Source organism: Homo sapiens, chromosome 14 (assembly GCF_000001405.40).
Source record: "Homo sapiens chromosome 14, GRCh38.p14 Primary Assembly".
NCBI classification, from domain to species: Eukaryota; Metazoa; Chordata; class Mammalia; order Primates; family Hominidae; genus Homo; species Homo sapiens.
Genome location: NC_000014.9, coordinates 52,430,275 through 52,450,452, shown reverse-complemented (window position 1 = coordinate 52,450,452; position 20,178 = coordinate 52,430,275). Strand labels below are relative to the sequence as shown.

The 20,178-nt window shown below is 35.5% G+C and overlaps 1 protein-coding gene across 2 annotated transcripts in view; it reads left to right on the top strand.

Moving 5' to 3' along the window:
- TXNDC16 (thioredoxin domain containing 16) overlaps window positions 1-19,857 on the top strand; it is a 121,910-nt gene extending 102,053 nt beyond the window's left edge. For both annotated transcript variants that reach the window (NM_001160047.2, NM_020784.3), the window contains exons 19-21: window positions 9,729-9,889; window positions 11,059-11,249; window positions 17,866-19,857. In NM_001160047.2, the coding sequence (NP_001153519.1) occupies window positions 9,729-9,889; window positions 11,059-11,249; window positions 17,866-18,149 (636 nt within the window). In that variant the 3' untranslated portion in view covers window positions 18,150-19,857. The remainder of the gene's footprint in view (window positions 1-9,728; window positions 9,890-11,058; window positions 11,250-17,865) is intronic.
- The last annotated feature ends 321 nt before the right edge of the window (window positions 19,858-20,178 follow it).

Below are 20,178 nucleotides of genomic sequence, written 5' to 3'. Positions count from 1 at the left end.
TCTGGAAGCCTTTGTATTATAGCTTCAATCTCCTTGTTTGTTATTGGTCCATTTAGGTTTTGAATTTCTTCATGGTTCAATCTTGGTTGGTTGTATGTGTCTAAGAATTTGTCCATTTCTTCTAAATTTTCCAATTTATTGGCATATAGTTGCTCATAGTAGCTACTAATGACCTTTTGAATTTCTGCTATATCAATTGTAATGTCTCCTTTTTCATCTCTGATTTTATTTGGGTCTTCTCTCTTTGTTTCCTAGCTAGTCTGACTAAGGGTTTGTCAATTTTGTTTAACTTTTCGGAAAACCAACTTGTTTCCTGGATGTTTTGTATTGTTCTCTTCATTTCAATTTCATTTATTTCTGCCCTGATCTTTATTATTTCTTTTCTTCTGCTAATTTTGGGTTTGGTTTGCTCTTGCTTTTCTAGTTCTTTAGGTGTATCATTGGGTTGTTTCTTTGAAGTTTTTCCACTTTTTGATGTAGGTGCTCATTGCTATAAACTTTCCTTTTAGTACTGCTTTCAGTGTATCCCAAGGGTTTGGGTATGGTTTTTTTCCAAGAAATTTTAAAATTTCTTTTTTAATTTCTTCATTGACCCCACTGGTCATTCAGGAGCATATTGTTTAATTTCCATGTGTTTGTATAGTTTCCAAAATTGCTCTTGTTATTGATTTCTAGTTTTATTCCATTGTGGTGAGAGAAGATGCTTGATATTATTTCAGATTTTTTGTTTAAATGTTATAAGGCTTGTTTTATGACTTAACCTAAAGTCTATCCTTGACAATGATCCATATGCTCAGGAGAAGAATGTGTATCTGCAGCCATTGAATGAGATGTTCTGTAAATATCTATTAGGCCCATTTTGTCTGTAGTGCAGATTAAATCTGAGGTTTCTTTGCGGATTTCCTGTCAAGAAGATTTGTCCATTGCTGAAAGTGGGTTGTTGAAATCTTCAGCTGTTATTGTGTTGGAGTTTATCTCTATCTTTGGCCCTAATAATATTTGCTTTATATACCTGGGTGCTCCAGTGTTGGGTGCATATATATTTACAATTGTTATATCTTCTTGCTATATTGACCCCTTTATCATTGTATAGTGACCTTATTTGTCTCTTCTTACAGTTTTTGTCTTGAAATCTATTTTGTCTGATATCAGTATAACGACTCCTGCTCTTTTTGGTTTCCATTGGCATGGATTATCTTTTTCCATCCTTTTATTTTCAGTCTTTGTATATCATTATAGGTGAAGTGTGTTTCTTTTAGGCAACTGATCATGGGATCTTATTATTTTTTTTTAATCTCTTCAGCCATTCTGTGTCTTTTGACTGGAGAGTTTAGTCTGTTTATATTTAATGTTATTATTGATAAGTAAGGACTTACTCCTGCCATTTTGTTATTTGTTCTTTGGTTGTTTTGTGGTCTTCCTTCCTGTCATCTTTTTAGTGAAGGTGATTTTCTCTGGTGATATGATTTAATTTTTTTAAAATTTTTTTGTGTGTATTTGTTTTGTTTTTTGATTTGAAGTTACCATGATGCTTGTAAATACTACCTTATAACTTGTTATTTTAAGCCAATAACAACTTAACACTGTTTGCATAAACGAACAAGCAAAGGAAAACTAATAAAAACTCTACACTCTGTCAAGTTAAACTCTAGTTTAACTTCATCTCCTGCTTTTTAACTTTTTATTGCTTCTATTTATATCTTATTGTACCATCTGTGTCTTGAAAAATTGTTGTGGTTATTATTTTTGATTGGTCCATTGTTTAGTCTTTCTACTTAAGAGTAGGTTACACAGCACAGTTAAGCATTATATTCTGTGTTTTACAGTGTACTTACCATTAGCAATGAGTTTTGTACTTTTAGATGAATTTTTATTGCTCATTAGTGTCCTTTTCTTCCTGATTGAAGCATTCTCTTTAGCATTTCTTGTAGGACAGATCCGGTGTTGATGAAATTCCTCAGATTTTGTTTGTCTGGGGAAGTTTTTATTTCTCCTTCATATTTGAAGGATATTTTCACCAGTTATACTATTCTAGGGTAAAAAGTTTTTTTTTTTAATTTAGCACTTTAAATATGTCATGTTATTGTCCTGTAAGGTTTCCACTGAAAAGTCAGCTGCTAGGTGTATTGGAGCTACATTGTGTGTTGTATTTCTTTTCTCTTGCTTTTAGGATCCTTTTTTTTAAATCCTTGACCTTTGGGAGTTTGATTATGCCTTGAAGTAATCTTCTTTGGGTTAAATCTGCATAGTGTTTTATAACCTTGTGCTTGGATATTGATATCTTTTTCTAAGTTTGGGAAATTCTCTGTTACTATCTTTTGAATACACTCTATCCCTATCTCTTTCTCTATCTCCTCTTTAAGGCCAGTAACTCTTAGATTTGTCCTTTTGAGGCTATTTTCTAGATCCTAGTAGGCCTGCTTCATTGTTTTTTTTTTTCATTTTTCTTTTGTTTCCTCTGACTGTTTATGAATAGCCTGTCTTCAAGCTCAGTAATTCTTTCTTCTGCTTGATCATTTCTGCTCTTAAAGGACTCTGATGTATTCTACATATGTTAGTTTAGTTGCATTTTTGAGCTCCAGAATTTCTGCTGGATTCTTTTTAATTATTTCTGTTTCTTAAATTTATCTGGTAGAATTCTGAATTCCTTCCCTGTGTTATCTTGAATTTCTTTGAGTTTTCTCTAAGCAGCTCTTTTGATTTCTCTGTCTGAAAGGACACATAGCTCTGTTTCTCCAGGATTGGTCTCTGGTGTCTTATTTGGTTCATTTGGTGAGGTCATCTTTTCCAGGACACTGTTGATACTGTTGGATGTTTGTCTGTGTCTGGGCGTTAAAGGTGTTCTCTTCTCTTACTTTCTCCCAAACAAATGGAGTCCGTCTCTCTGTTCTGAGCCACCTGGGGCTGGGGGTGGAGTGACGCAACCACCCTCAGGGGCCACCACCACTGGCACTGTGCTGTGTCAGACATGAAGCCAGCACAGTACTGGGTCTCTCCCAACACTTGCTGTAACCACTCCCTGGCTACTGCCTATGTTCACTTAAGGCCCTGGGGCTCTAAAATCAGAGGTGGCTAAGCCAGCTGGGCCTGTGTTCTTCCCTTTAGGATGGTGAATTCCTCCAGGACCAGATAGAGGAGCCTCACCCCATGGCCACTGCTACCACAGGCCCACAGGGAGTACTGGCAGGCTACTGCTCATGTTCTCTTAAGGCCCAAGGGCTCTTCCATCAGCTTGTAGTGAATGCTTTCTGGCCTGGGACTCATGCTTCAGGATAGTGGGCTTGCCTCTGGCCCAGGTAAGGTCCAGAAATGCCATCCAAGAGCCAAGGCCTAGAATTGTGGCCCCCCCAAAACCCGCTTGGTGTTCTACCCTTCTCTGGCAGAGCTGGTACCTATGGTGCAAGACAAAGTCCCCTTTACTTTTCCCTCTACTTTTCTCAAGCAGAAGGAGTCTCACCCCATAGCCACCACAGCTAAGAATGTGCTTAGTCTCACCTGAAGTCAGCAAGTCTCGGAGTCTCACTCAAGTCCTACAATGTACTACCTAGGCCCAAGGGCTCTTCACTTAGCAGTTGATAAATGCTGCCAGGACTAGGTCTTTCCCATAGAGGTAGCAGTTTCCCTTCTGGCCCAGGGTGTATCTAGAAATGTCATCCAAGAGCTGGGACCTGGAAAGGGAGCTTCACAACTCTGACCAGGGCCCTGTCCTCCTGTGGCTGAGCTGGTATCCAAGATGCAAGACAAAGTCTTTCCCAGTCTTTCCTTTCTTCTCCTTAAGCAGAAGGAAGGGGTCTCTTTTGGAGCTACAAGCTGTGCAGCCTGGGATTAGGGGAGAGGTGGCATCAGCACTCCCCTAGCTGTCCTGGCTGGTATCTCAGTAGGTCATGTGTGCCTATAGTCTGCTGGCTCTGAGCCCAGTTCAGCCCTAGGACTCACCTAGGAGTTGCAGCCTTTGTTGCCTAGACTGCCTTTCAAGTTTATTTGGGCCCCAGCACACTCCAGCCTGAGGTGACAAGTCTTGCTGTAATTCAAGTTCTGACTTCTAGGATGGGCATTTCTGCTCTGGCTAGAGATGGTTTAAATACACCCACTGTGGGCGAGCATGCACTGAGTTCAGTCTGGTTTTGCCTGCTGTTAAAACAGGGCAGCACTGAGTTCAATGCAGAGTCTCACAATTGCTGTGCTCTCCCTCTCCCAAACACATAGATTCTCTCTTCATGCAGTGTGGCCACTGCCAGGGGATGGGAGAAGGGTATCATTGATGATTCAAGACTGTTTTTCCTACCTCTTCAGTGCCTCTTTGAGCGATATAAAGTTAAAACCAGGTACTGTGAGTACTCACCTGATTTTTGGTTCTTATGAAGGTGCTTTTTTGTGTAGATAGTTGTTAAATTGCAGTAGTCATTGCAGGGGAAGAGGGGATGACTGGTAGAGTACTCTAGTCTGCCATCTTGCTTCACTCTCCTATTTGTACAGTTTTAGAAAAAAATATTGTCTTATGAAAGGCTTTTTCTTATGTTTTACTTTTACAGTCATGCATCACTTAACGAGGATATCTTCTGAGAAATGCATCGATAGGCAGTTTTATCATACAAACTTTATATAGAGTGTACTTACAGAAATCTAGGTGGTATAGCCTACTACGTACCTACGCTGTAAGGTATAGCATATTGCTCCTAGGCTACAAACCTGTACAGCATGTTACTTTACTAAATACTGTAGGCTCTTGTAACAATGGTAAATATTTGTGAATCTAAACATAGAAAAGGTACAGTAAAAACATGGTATAATCTTATGGGACCACCATCTTACATGTACTCCATTGTTGACTGAAACATCATGCGATGCATGACTGTATAATAGTGGATTCAAGGGCACAACAAATGTAACCTGTGTTACCTGATTTTAGTTGTTTGCTTTCATATTAAACATAGCTAGAATTTATACTTTTCTACATTTCTGAAGTGACTCAAGGAGCATTTTTATTAGCTATAGATGCTAAATGAATATCCTGTTAGGTTTTTTGTCTTGATGATCTAAAGGACATTACATTTTGGGCTCAACTAAGGGACTGCAGTCTTTATTAAGTCTTTTTGTGTCTTGGTTCTGTCCTTTCCTCCTGTTAAAATTATAGGTTATAAATAATCAAATCATTGAATTGATATGTTCATGATGTATGTTTCTAAATTACTTATTAAAGTAACATTTATGTTATTAATGACATGTTATTAAGTAATTCCTTTAGCATATACATAGTGTAGTATTTTTGGAATTACTAGAAGCCTTTGTTTGGCTTTTTCAGGTAATACAGAAAGGATAAAGAAGAAAATTATAATCAACCATAACTTTTCTACCCAAGTTTACGTTAGGAAATACATTTCCCCAAACCTAAATTCTGTATGTATCTGTGTGCCTTTTTATATTAATGTATTTCCATCAAGTACTATAGATACACATTTTAATTTTTAACATCTGCATAATATTGTTTACTAATGTACCAAAATTTATTTAGCCCATTTCCTCTTGATGGTTGTTTAAGCTGTCTTTAGTTTTTGTTTTATTTATAATTCAGGGAACATCCTTTTAGGTAATCTTTGGGTGTATCTATGATTATGGATTTAGGTTAAATTTCTAGAATTTGAATTGGTTGTCCAAAGAGTAGGCCCACTTTTGAGGCTTCTGATAACTTTTGTATTTCCTGACAGAAGATTTGTATCATTTTACTCTTTTTATCTTGGTATATTTAGTGGATAAAAATTGGTCTCTAATTTTTTTAAAGATTATATTCATTAAACCTTAGAAACGTAGGAGAAACTTAGTATCAAAATCTGTTTACAGTAACAACAAATGTAATATGCATTGTGACAGTTTGTTTCCAATGTTTTTATTTGTGGTGTTCAACTTAATACTGAACAGCTATAATAAAGATTAAATAGGCTTTAGAGAGACTTTAGTGCCTTCATCTGGATGAGGAAGGAGAGTTGATGACCAGAGGGTGAAGATTTTTTATTATGGTATGAAGTTTTTATTTTAATGAACCTGATGACAAATTGGGCCAGATAAATAATGCTTAAATCTGAAATACACAATAATTAACTACATAAGCATTGATATATTTAAGACTGTTTCCTGTTAGGAAATAGGGTTTAGTATTTTTCTCAGATAAACTGAGTTCCTTTTTTATGCTTTTATTATTGACAAGTTTAGAACACCAGGACCCACACAGTTATAGTCTGTTATATACTCAGAGAGCCAAAGGTCACCTTCCAAGTACCACATTTGATGACCTCTTAACTGTGTTTCTCCTTAGTGTCTCAGTAGCAGTCAAAACTGTTGTCTATACCATTCCTCCTCAACATTCTCTTTTCTTCCGGCTTTTGTAATTCAGTCCTCTTTTGTCCATCTGACCATCCTCTGTCTCATTTATTCCCTAGAATTACATCTTCAACTCTTTTTTTTTCTTCTTTTGCTATGTCTTTTCTTTGGAAAATTTTATCCATACCCATAACTTCTACCATCACTACCAGCTGATGATTCCTAAATCCGAGTGTTTAATTTTAGAACTCAGTTTCCTTCTAAACTCACAAATCTCTTGGTCTTTCTCTTTTGACTAGACATAGGAAAGAGTAGGGTCCTTCCACTGGTCCTTCTTTTCACAAATTTATATTCTAGTTAGTCATCTTTTGAAAAACAGGCCTAACTGTGTCACCAATCTGATACAGAAATCTTCTCAGTATTCCCAGGAGCTAGAATACTTATGAAGGCATTACTCATCTGGTCTCACAGCCATATTTGCCTCTTGCATGCCTAACTCTGGCATCCTTCATTATCACTATTCCAAAATATTATGTATGCTTTAATAGCTCTCTGCCTATCTTCATGATGTTCCCTATGTCTGAAATCCCTGCTCAAGCACACACCTCAGTCTGTCAAGATCTTATTCTTTATCCAGGGTCCAGCTCAAATATCAATTCCTAAAATCATCCATGAGCTCCCCTACTGTATTAGTCAGGTTTCTCTAGACGGACAGAACTAATAGGATAGATATAATAAAAGGGAGTTTATTAAGTTTTAACTAATAAAAATCACACGGTCCCACAATAGGCCATCTGCAAGCTGAGGAGAAAGGAAAGCCAGTTCGAGTCCCAAAACTGAAGAACTTAAGAGTCTGATGTTCGAGGGCAGGAAGCATCCAGCACAGGAGAAGATGTAGGTTGGGAGACTAGGCCAGTCTAGTCTTTACACTTTTTTCTGTCTGCTTTATGTTTTTTTCTAGTTGTGCTGGCAGCTGATTAGATGGTGCCCACCCAGATTAAGGTGGGTCTGCCTTTTCCAGCCCACCGACTCAAATGTTAATCTTTGACAACACCCTCATAGACACATCCAGGATCAATACTTTACATCCCTCAATCCAATCAAGTTGACACTTAGTATTAACCATCACACCTACCTTGTGTTTTTAGCTTGTTTAATTTCGAACCAATAAGTTTTCTTATTGTCATACATTAAATTTTTTATTTATTATAGCAGTCTGTATACTTACCTGTCTTCTCTTCTAAAGTATGAACTCTTTGAAGGCAAGGAAAGGATCTTATTTCTTTATAGATTCAGCACCCAGCATAACATCTTGAACTTTGTCCTCAATAAATGTTTGAATTGAGCTGTGGTGACTCTGTCTCACCTAATGTTTCTGCTTGTTCAATAAAAGATCTGTCAATATTTAGGAGAGGGATCTAACTCAACTACAAGATTAAAGGATGAAAGCTAACACAAGAAGACAGCATAGGGGAATTTGGAGAAAAAGTGATCTAAGATTTAAGCCATGAAAGAGGAAGGTGTAAGAAGGAGATTTTGAGTGTGAAAGAGAGATAATTAGAAGAAAAATGAGAATGGGCAAATGCAAGCTGCTCTGAGAACTGAAAAGGGAAAGTTATATGCCAGAATTTGGCACTTCAGGATGAACTAGGACTATATTTAGAGGTGGGTGACACCATTAAAAACAAGTTCATCTGAATTTGTAGTGCGATCTAAAGAAAGGGGAAACTGGTGAGCAGAATGCCTGGATTCTACCATCACTCCTTCCCCCTGCTTAGCCGTGGTGACTTAAGCAAGTTAGTCTCTGTGTTGGCTTCCCCATATGTCAGCTGGGGGTTATCTATCTGATACAGGATGATATATCTAGCTCGCAGGTGTATCCAGAGGATGAAATAATGGACGTGGAACTGAAAATGGTAGAAGGTTTTATTATTCTATGTCATTGCTATTTTTAATCCTAAATATATTAGCATTGTTGTTGCACTTTCCAATTCTTGTTACTGACAGCGTAGACAAATTGTCTTCTACAAATACATTTTAAAATGGTTATTCTCTTTTATTTTTTTTCTTTCAATTCCCTCATTTCACAGATTTAAAAACTGGGGTACAGAGTGCTTTGCTCAAAGTTTTATTACTGTGACAATTCCATGAATCCAGAACCTGGGATTCTGACTTGTAATCAAGTGACTGTTTAAGTCTACCCCATTACAGAAAGGTGTGAAAGAGAGAATAGAAAGAGAGAGAGGATAGACAGTCATTACTGCTAATATTAATATAATAGAATTTTAGGCCCTTCCTTGAGTTGGAGGTGAGTGGAGAAAGGAAGTATTTCTAAGATAAAAAGAGTGCAGTGGCCAAGAGAAAGCTTCCTCTTTGTCCTCTGAAGGTTCCATGAAAATAACTGAAAAAAGGCAGATTAATAGGAGAAAGGCATACAAAATTTTATTTTAATGTGCATAGCATGGGCGAATTGCAGGAGAATGATTACCTCCTTATCTTGTTTTTGTTTTTGTTTTTTGGGTTTTTTTTTTTTGAGAGTCTCACTCTGTTGCTCAGGCTGAAGTGCTGTGGAACAATCTCGGCTCACTGCAACCTCCCTCTCCTGGGTTCAAGCGATTGTCTTGCCTCACCCTCCAGAGTAGCTGGGATTACAGGCGGGCACCACCATACCCAGCTAATTTTTGTACTTTTATTAGAGACAGGGTTTTGCCATGTTGGTGAGGCTGGTCTCGAACTCCTGACCTCAGGCGATCTGCCTGCGTCGGCCTCCCAAAGTGCTGGGATTACAGGCGTGAGCCATCACTCCCAGCCTCCTATCTTTTAATTAGTAATAAAAATGATAAAAGGATTAGATTTCTAATTTCATATTAAATTCTTTCAGTTATTTTAAACTCAAAAGAAACAAGATTGGTGTTTGGATTTGTTTTAGCATATTTTTGGTTATTTTAATTATGATTTTAACCATAATATTGGAAAAAGTAAAATTTTATATTTATTAAGTAATGATAGATGTTAAAGAAAATACTTTTTCAGCTTACAGTTTTCTTCAAAATTGTTATGTTAGAGGAAAAAATATAACAATTGTCATGTGTATATTGGTTAGTCTGGTCCAGACTTTAGCATAATAAATTATTAGAAGTGTTACATCTTGTAAAACAGGGGACTCCTTTAAATTAATTTATTCTCAAATTCTGTGTAGTTTTATTTTGAAAATAACTCATTCAGATGAGGTGGGATTGAATAAGACGATTGAGATTCATAGTTATTAATATAGTAAAATCTCTACTTAAGTGAAAATGTGTTTGAATTACATTTTACAAACTAAAATTGACTGAGTGATTTGAATGTCTTCTGTGGTATGCATTATCATCCCCAATGCATTTTTTATTGTTGTTATTCCTTTTCTTTGACAGCCGGAAATCACTGTGGAAAATCTTCCCAGTTATTTCAGACTTCAGAAACCATTATTGATTTTGTTCAGTGATGGCACTGTAAATCCTCAGTATAAAAAAGCAATATTGACACTGGTAAAGCAGAAATACTTGGATTCATTTACTCCATGCTGGTTAAATCTGTAAGTATGTGTTTATTTTTTAATATGTAAGAGGTAAAGAAAGTAATAATTATTACATTTTCATTAGGAAACGAAACTCTCTAACTCTTTGGAGTTAATTTTATGGAACCAAATATGTCACCATGATATTTTAGTAACAAAACTCCCCCAAACAAGGTCCAAGATGACCTTATTTTAGATTAAATTTTATTCTACAGTAAAATTTTAAAAGAAATAATTGTTCTACTTTTTAAAAGGAATTGATGCCCATTGAGAAAATTTGGCAAATACAGAATAGTAAACATTGTGATTTTTGGACTTTTCCTTCAGTTCCTTTTTCTGTACTTCTATATTTTTAAAGTTCAGACAGATTTCAGTGCATTCATCAGCAATATTTCCTAGTATGTTTTCTAGATGTATGGATTGTGTTACATTTAATGTCTGTGAACAAAATTCACAAATAATATACTGCCCCTTGTTCAGATTCATCAGATGAAAGACATATTTATTCTTTAAAATCATTTGAAAAATAACAGAAATGGGGCAGTGTACATTTTTGCTGTGAAGAGTTTAACAGTGCATTCTACTGCTTGAGGCAACATTTTCCCAGGCAATTATCATTACAGGTATCTAAGAGTAAAATAGTATTTTATAAACTGTAGAATGTGTTACATTAGGAAAACTAAGTATCTTTAACTTAGAGTTTCCTTGTATGAACATAATTATTTCTACTTCTTTAATTTGAAATTAATGCCTTTTCCTGAGAAAAGGCACAATTCTATGGAAAAGAAGTATTTATAAAAATAAGTATCTTGTTATCTTCTAGTTATGTAATCATTTAATTTTTGAGCTGATGTATGATCAGATACTTGGCCAAATGTTGGAAGGAAACTACTGGTTGCGTCAAGCCTAAATTGACAAGCCTTTGGGCTATGCCTGCTTTTCATTAAAATTGTCATTGGCTGCCGCTTTTCTCCCAAGTGAAACAAAGTGCCCCATGTTAAAAAGAAACTTTAAAAGAATCCGGTTACTAATAACATGTCGTAGACTTCTTGGTTTTTAGGACATCTTTTCATAAAGTGAACTTACTGGCATGATACTACTTAAAAGTTTAATGTTCTACGAATTACTATTTTCATTATTTTGTTGTAGAAAGAAATATTAATATGTTCAATTGTTCCCTTTTGCAGAAAGAATACTCCAGTGGGGAGAGGAATCTTGAGGGCATATTTTGATCCTCTGCCTCCCCTTCCTCTTCTTGTTTTGGTGAATCTGCATTCAGGTGGCCAAGTATTTGCATTTCCTTCAGACCAGGCTATAATTGAAGAAAACCTTGTATTGTGGCTGAAGAAATTAGAAGCAGGACTAGAAAATCATATCAGTAAGTTTTCTGTTTTGTTTAATACATGTAGTTCTGCATTTTGTTCCATAAATGTTAAACTCTAAATATAGCTAAAGAATGGTAGGATGAGTTATTAAAATGCTGGTAGCATCATCCATGTGGACAGTCTCTGACTGGGAGGCCAAAGGTGCAAGGCTTCAGTCAGTGATCGGCTCCCCTGTGAAGGCCTGTTTCTTGAATTTTAATTCATTGAGTCCATGTTACTTGTATAGATCACCAGTGTATTCAAACATATGATTTTGGTAATTTATGCCATTAAAAAAGTTGTTACAGTGGGAGCTTTGGCCTACCAAAGCATAAGTATTTCATCTATTTTTATAAAATTTAAAATTGTAGATTTCAGAAGATATTTCTTGTGCAGCTTTTTCCATGTGCATGCCAGCTTGTTTTCTTTTTATAACTGTAAGCAAATATGTGGTTTTATAGAAAATGAGGATATTTTACAAATAGTGCATTATTGTTATATAAAATTCTGGTTCTAAGTACAGGCATACCTCAGAGATATTGAGGGTTCAGTATGAGACCACCACAATAAAGCAAATATTGAAATAAAGCAAATCATACAAATTTTTTGGTTTCTAAGTATATATAAAAGTTATGTTTACACTATACTGAAGTCTATTAAATGTGTAATAGCATTATGTCTAAAAAATGTTTTTACCGTAGTTTTAAAATATTGCTAAAAAATGCCAACAATTATCTGAGCTTTCAAGGAATTGTAACCTTTTGGCTGATGAAGGAGGGTCTTGTCTCTGTGCTGATGGCTGCTAACTGACAGGTGGTAGTTGCTGAAGTGCTGAAGTTTGGGCTGTGGCAATTTCTTACAATAAGACAACAATGAAGTTTGCAGCATTGATTGACCTTTCTTTTCACAAAAGATTTCTCTGTAGTATATGATGCTGTTTGATAGCATTTTATTCACAGTAGAACTTCTTTCAAAATTGGAATCAATCCTTTGAATCGCTGCTGCTGCTTTATCAACTAAGTTTATGGAATATTCTAAATCCATTGCTGTCATTTCAACGATGTTCATAGCATTTTCACCAGTAGTTTCCAACTCAAGAAACCGCTTTCCTTGCTTATTCATGAGAAGCATCCGTTCAAGATTCATCATAAGATTGCAGCAATTTAGTTTCACCTTCAGGCACCACTTCTAATTCTAGTTCTCTTGTTATTTATACCCCATCTGCAGCTACTTTCTCCACTGAAGTCTTGAGCCCCACAAAGTGTACAAGGCTTCCTTTTCCTCTGCATCCTTGTCAGCATTTGTTATTGCCTTTGTTTGAGATAAAAGCCATTTTAACTGGGGTGAGGTGATATCTCATTGTAGGTTTGATTTGCTTTTCTCTGATGATCAGAGAAATATCTGTTTTCATAGACCTATTTTCCGTTTGAATGTCTTCTTTTCAGAAGTGTCTATTCAGATCTTTTGCCAATTTTTAAATCAGATTATTAGTTGTTTTTTTCCCCATAGTAGTTTGAGCTCCTTATATTCTCTGGCTATTAATCCCTTGTCAGACAGGTAGTTTGCTAATATTTTATTCCATTCTGTGGGTTATCTTTTTACATTGTTGATTGTTTATTGTTTCCTTTGCTGTGAAGAAGCTTTTTTTTAACTTGATGTGATCCCATTTGTCCATTTTTGCTTTGGTTGCTTGTGCTTATGGGGTATTTAGAAATCTTTGCCCAGTCCAATATCCTGGAGAGTTTCTATAATGTTTTTGTCTAATAATTTCTTTTAGTAATTTAAGTTCTTACATTTAAGTCTTTAATATCTTTTGAGTTAAGAGTGAGATAAGGTCCAGTTTGTTTATTTTGTATCCTGCAACTTTACTAAATTTGTTGATTAGTTCTAACAGGTGTTTTTGTGGAGTCTTTAGGCGTTTTCTGTATATAAGATCATGCTACCTGCAAACAGGAACAATTTAACTTCCTTTCTGATTTGGACAGAGCCAGAATTTTGAACCACAAGAAAATAGATCTTGGCCCAGAATCTATTATCCTGGCTTATAACATGCCATAATATCCACTTTTCTGAAAACATAGAAAAATTTATATTTGTAGTATGGATATATATATTAATTTATATTTGAGTCTTAACCATTTATACATAGTTGTGGCAACAATAGGCCTGTAGCTATAGTTTAAATAAGTAAACATGTAGCAACCTAGATTATTATAGTATATTGAACAAATAGTGTGAAATGTAACAAAAAGTCTCCTAGGTACTATATAAGGATTTTATTAGATACTAGATGGTCTATCCTAAAATAATATTTTGATACTGTTCCATGACAGAGTCCTGAAATAAGGTTTGTATGTGTGTGTATATATGTAAATATGTATGTATGTGTGTACGTATGTATATACACATACACTCTGGTATACAAATTCTCATTCAATATTATGTCAACTATCAGGTATAGTATGAATCTACCATTATGTATATTTGTATGTATTTCATCAGCTACTTTAATTTATTTTAGGGTCAATCATTACACCAAACCCATCCTTCCTAAGTGGTCTGCTTCATTTCTGTCAAGTTAAGCAGTTTTAACAAACATATTATGCTTAAATAAAATATGGATGGTATTTTTATTGAAATATAATATACCATAAAATTCACCCTTTTAGAGTGTACAATTCAGTACTTTTTCAGGCATTCTCAAGATCATGCAACTACTACCATTGTTGAATTCCAGAACATTTTCATCACCCCAAAAAGAAACCCCATACCCATTAGCGGTCACTCTCAATTTTCTCCTCTATCCACCCTTTGGCACCCACTCATCTATTTTATGGTTCTATGGATTTGCCTAATCTAGACATTTCATATAAATGGTATCATATAATATGTGGCTTCTTATGTCTGACTTCTTTCACTTATCATAAGGTTTTCAAGGATCAACCACGTTATAGCATGAACCAGTAGTTCATTCCTTTTTATGGATGAATAATATTCCACTGCAAGGATATGTCACATTTTGTTTATTCCTTAGTTGATGGACAGTTGGGTTGCCTTTACTTATGGCGATTATGAATAATGCTGCTATGAGCATACATGTATATGGTTTGGTGCCTGTCTTTATGCTAGTACTGCACTGTCTTGATTATTGTAGCTTTGTAGTAGATTTTAAAATTGGGAAATTTGATTACTCCTACTTTGTTTTTCATTTTCTTTTATTTCATTTTGTTATTTTTTTTGAGACAGGGTCTCACTCTGTCACCAAGGCTGGAGTGCAGGGGTGCGATCATCACACACTACAGCCCCGAACTCCTGGGCTCAAGGGATTCTCCTACCTCAGCCTTCCAAGTAGCTAGGACTACATGCATGCACCACCAAGCCTGGCTTCATTTTTTTGTTTTTGTCTTTGTTTTTGTTTTTGTAGAGACAGGGTCTCACTGTGTTGTCCAGGCTGGTCTTGAACTGTTGGCCTCAAGCAACCCTCCCTCCTCAGCCCCCCAAAGTGTTGGGATTACAGGCATGAGCCACTGCACCTGGCCCTATTCTTTGTTTTCAAGACAATTTTGGCTATTCTGGGTTCCTTTAGATGATATTTTTGTCTTAATTTTCTGAGGCAATTTATTGGTTTTAATATTTTCCTAGGAAACGGGACAGAATTAATTAATTAAATTCAATATTTTGTTTAAGTGGATCTGGAAGGAGACCTTTCTGTAGTTATCAGTCATCTTTGACTACTTCATTCTCACCACATGGTATAGGGATCTTTTCAGCTGTAGCTCTTAAACTCCTCAGAAAGTCTATGTTCACTTAACTGTCTGCATTGCTATTTTATAGAAGCAAATGAGTATTGTCATGTTGTAGCTGCAGTGACACAGAGTTCCCATGGACTGTAACTCAAGATTATGTGTAGCTAGGGCTAGAATGTTTCTCAAACAGAATTACTTAAAAAAAAAAAAAAAAAAAAGCAGACATGTTCAAAACATAGAAACCTGAGCTCCTGCCCTAGCTTCCTAGATTACTATGTGGCTCTAGGCAAGTCATTCTTGGTTTCCTCCTCTACAACTATAAAATGAGTTTAATAGTTTCCACTCTGAATACATCACATAGTTATTAAAAAATGAATGCAGAGGCACTTTGTAAAGTATAAACTCTAATGTATTATCATCACCTATGTAAAGATCCTTTCCTGCAAGGAACATCCCTGAGGGCTTTGATTCCTCAGCTCAAACCATTACCCAGAGGAAAGAATCAACGTTATACTTCTGAGTTTTCTGAGAGACTGGCGTGTCTTCTATTGCAATTTTGTTAACATCTTTGCCAGCTCATTCTTTACGGGTTTCCATCATTTCTATGCATCACTGCTCCTATTCTTAAATTAATCCTGTAGCCTCTGCAGCAGGAAAAAGAAAACTGAACAGTCTCTGTGTATTGGATTCTGCCTTCTGTGCTAGCAGGGCCTGCTCTCAGCATCTCTGTTAGATAGATCTTTGCCAACAGTGGTGTTCTGAGATGGGGTTGGGGTCGGATGAGTTGTAGGAACATTCTGGAAATAGCCTAACTCAGTAACATGGTGCCACTGGTGTCTGCCTCACCTTACTTATTGCATATCTTAATTTCTGTGAAACTGTGGCCACTGGCAATTCTTACTTGAGATTTACACTTAACTTTGGCCCAGTTCCCTGATATTTGTATGCTTTAGTGTTCTCGTCTATAAAATTGTAAAGATAAAATGAATAGTGCATGTGTATAGTAAAGGCTCAATAAATGTTAATTAGTATTATTTATTATCATTACTGATTTGATGAATAATGTATTTATTACCCATACATTATTACAGTTTTATTTGCAGTTGAAAACATTAAGATCTTTGTAGAGTTCCCTCAGCAAGTAATTAGCAGAATTGGGATGTTTCAGGCATTTTGTCATAGTCTCAGACCGCTAGGCCGCAGTGTTGACCTTAAAAAATAACTATTGTTAAATATAATATTTGCTACATGCTACACTTTAAACTGGACTCTTTGTTGTTGTTGAGACAGTGTCACACTCTCTCATCCAGGTTTGAGTGCAGTGGTGTAATCACGGCTCATTGCAGCCTCAACCATCTGGGCTCAAGTGTACCTTCCGCCTCAACCTCCCGAGTAGCTGGAACTACAGGCACGTGCCACCATGCCCAGCTAATTTATTTTTATTTTTTGATTTTTTGTAGAGAAGGGCTACCACTATGTTGCCCAGGCTGGTTTTGAACTCCTGGGGCCAAGCTGTCCTCCCATCTTGGCTTCCCAAAGTGGTGGGATTGTACATGTGAGCCACCATGCCCAGCCTAAACTGGACTCTTACAGATACTTTAATATACATTTATCTGCATATTGCAAACTACAGTTATTCTTCTTACCTGTTCATTATGTTCAAGAAAATATGTCATCCATTTGTCACTTTTGAACCTGCTAACCTGGCAACACCAATTTGAAACATCAGTTTCATGAGTAGCCTAAATTTATTGCCCTGCTGATGTACCAATTACCAGGATTTCATATAGTTGAGTATGAGTGAAGAAATTATATATCAATAAGCAAAGTACAGCTGTACTGCATGTGTACATATACAGATTTTTGTTTGAGCTTTACTCTAGGAAATTGCAATATATATGTTTTTTCTAAGCTCTTAAAGATACTCAATTTATGAGAGATGCTCAAGTTTGTATCTTATGAGCATTTATTATTATTTTTTAGCATGTAACAGTGCATAGATTCTTTCATTGGAATTTATTTTTAAAAGGTTTACTTTGTACATTTCCTTATATAGTTTATTTTTTAAAATAGTACCCTAAATGGGCCAACTAAATTCTGAAACTATTTTGTAAACTGTCTAGTAAATGGAAGAAAGTTAGCTAATTTATCTCTATGTTATCAGCCTTAATCAGTTTTCCTCTTTCAATAACCAATATTTTAAAATAATGTTAAGATTCATTGCCATGAAGCTCATCTAAGAGAAATTATTTAATCACTATGTATAGTACAGTTGATTCCACAGCAATTTTTAATTATTTATTGTCTATAATTATTTTTATGAAATGAACTTGTTTTCATAAAGTGTGTGGAAAAGATGTTAATCAAAAGCTTCAAGAACAGAAAATGCTTTAAAATATAAGGAAACACTTGTATAAATAACTCTATAATAAATAATTACATATGTTCCAAAATTTTTTTCTCGAATGATTTATAAGAAATAGTTACATTTCTTTGGCAGTAGAGAGGGAAGCAGGTGACTTTTTCATTTAACGTTTTACATATGTGTATGTGATCTTGTTACACATATTGCTGTTTTTGAAAACCTTAGCAAAGGTTAATCGGCATTGAGATTATGGACCTTTTTTCCCCTATTCATACTTTTTTTAAAGAAAATAATAGCTTGTAAATGTAATCTAAAAATGAAAATGGCTAGTAGTGACAAATGTATCAAATTTCTTGTTGACAATGACAGTAAAAAAATTCCTAGCTTTGCTTAGATAAGTAAAACTAATAAAACTTTCACTTCTACAAATATATTTTTCAAAATAAAACATTTTCTAATATGTTGATGTGACGATTTATAGCTGTTAATCTTTAACCTTTGATTGTTTCTTCCTTCCAGCAATTTTACCTGCTCAAGAATGGAAACCTCCTCTTCCAGCTTATGATTTTCTAAGTATGATAGATGCCGCAACATCTCAACGTGGCACTAGGAAAGTTCCCAAGTGTATGAAAGAAACAGATGTGCAGGAGAATGATAAGGAACAACATGAAGATAAATCGGCAGTCAGAAAAGAACCGATTGAAACTCTGAGAATAAAGCATTGGAATAGAAGTAATTGGTTTAAAGAAGCAGAAAAATCATTTAGACGTGATAAAGAGTTAGGATGCTCAAAAGTGAACTAATTTTATAGGGCTGTGGTTTCCAAAATTTTTTTGGCATGATAGACTTAATTTATTTCCTTAAAGAATAATATTAAATCATTTCAAGTTTGCAGACTAGTGCCATCCAATAGAATTATAATATAAGTCACATATTTTATTTAAAATTTTCTAGTAACTACATTAAACAAAGTAAAAGTGAGCAGGGCAAAATAATTTTGATATTACTTTTCACCCAGTAGTATACCCAAAATAGCGAAATATAGAAATTATTAATGAGATATTTTACATCCTTTTTTGTACCAAGTCTTCTAAATGCAGTACATATTTTATACTTACTGCATTTCTTACTTCCGAGTAGCCATATTTCAAGTGTTCCTTGCCACATGTGGCCTGTGACTACTGTATTGGACAGTTCAGTACTAGACAAAAACTAGCATAATTAACTTAGTTCTAGCCATGATTTCTATTTGGATTAAAATTAAACTCTAATCACAGTTAACTCCACAGTGCATTCATGCAGCTGACAGTTATATTTGTTTTATTGGAGTCATGATATTAAAATCAGCGTTTGTCAACCTCAGGGGATATTTAGCAATTGTCGGGAGACATTTTTGATGTCATGACTAGGGCAGTTATTGACATTTAGTGAGTAGAGGCCAGGGATCCTGCTAAATAACCTGCATTGGACAGCGCCCCACAACAAAGAATTATCCTGCCCGAAATGGTAGTCGTGCCAAGGCTGAGTAACCTTGTGTTAAAAGTAACCTGTGGCAGACTAGGTTTCCAGAATTTCCTGGTTCTGCTCACGTATCATGTTTGAAAAAATTTTGGCTATTAAAGATATGTATTAGATGGTCTTATCCTGATTATTACCTGGATACAACTTGATCTTTTCTAATATTTTCAGAAAGTGATGGGATAACCCTAGAAGAGGACTCAGAATGATATTTATATTTTAAGTGAGTCTTAAAACCTCCTCTTATTTCTACAAGTTATATGGCTAAATTTCAGATTGAACAGGGATTCAGCATTCTGCCATCTCCTCATGGAAAGAGAGGCTCCCTCATCTGAAGCGTCTCTGAAATCTACCCTTGCAAGCTTCAGACAAATCAGTTGATCTCCCTGAGCCACACGGCCTCATTCTGTGAGGGAGGGAAAGATTAGCCAAAGAGTTAATTTTCATTCCAAATCACTTAGCTGTTAGACTGATCTGTTTGTAGCAGTTGTTTGTCTCATTTTTGCTCTGTGCATTTTTTGAGACATTTGTTGAGAATATTCTATTTGGTGCTCTACTGTATTTTTCTTTTTAATATCTACTTGATATCTTGTTCTTTAAATTTTCTTCACATATGGTTTGCCTGATACAACTGATTTTTATAACTGAAATTTAAGGAATCTAACAGCTAAAACTCAGTAAGTGCATATATTTCCTTATAACATAGACCCGTTGCTACTCTCAGCACCCTCTCCTCAATTTTTTTTCCTGTAGCATGTGATGCCTGATTAAACTCATTTTCATTTGCTTTTATTTCTAATATGGGAACAATGAGAGTGAACTCTAAATATAGGTTGTAGTAATAAAACATCATTAGCCTAATTATTAGAAAATGCTAATTAAGTACCAGCACATAGAAACATGAAATTGCTTAGTCATTGTACCTTTGTCAGCAATTTTGACAGTCATTAATGTTTGTCATAATTTTAAATAAAGTGTCTGGGTTTCAGAATACCTTCACAAGCCTCCTTTAGTCTCCACTGTGCCCTCTCGGACCACTCTCCCTCTATCAGTTGGGTTTCTTTGGTTACAAGCAACAGAAATTCGACTTTGGCTCACTTAAGCAAAATGAGAATATTGGATAATTCACAGAGAAGAAAAAGTAAAGTAGGCTTTGAAAGGATAGGAACTAAGTCTGTTCTGTGTAACAGGAACTAACAGCTCAGTGAAGAATCGGTTCCAACTGATTTACTATCTTTTGTGACTCAGGGAGTCCTGGGAAAGTTGGTTAGGGGACCACTAGGCACTTTAATTGGCAGTCCTAACAGTATTTTA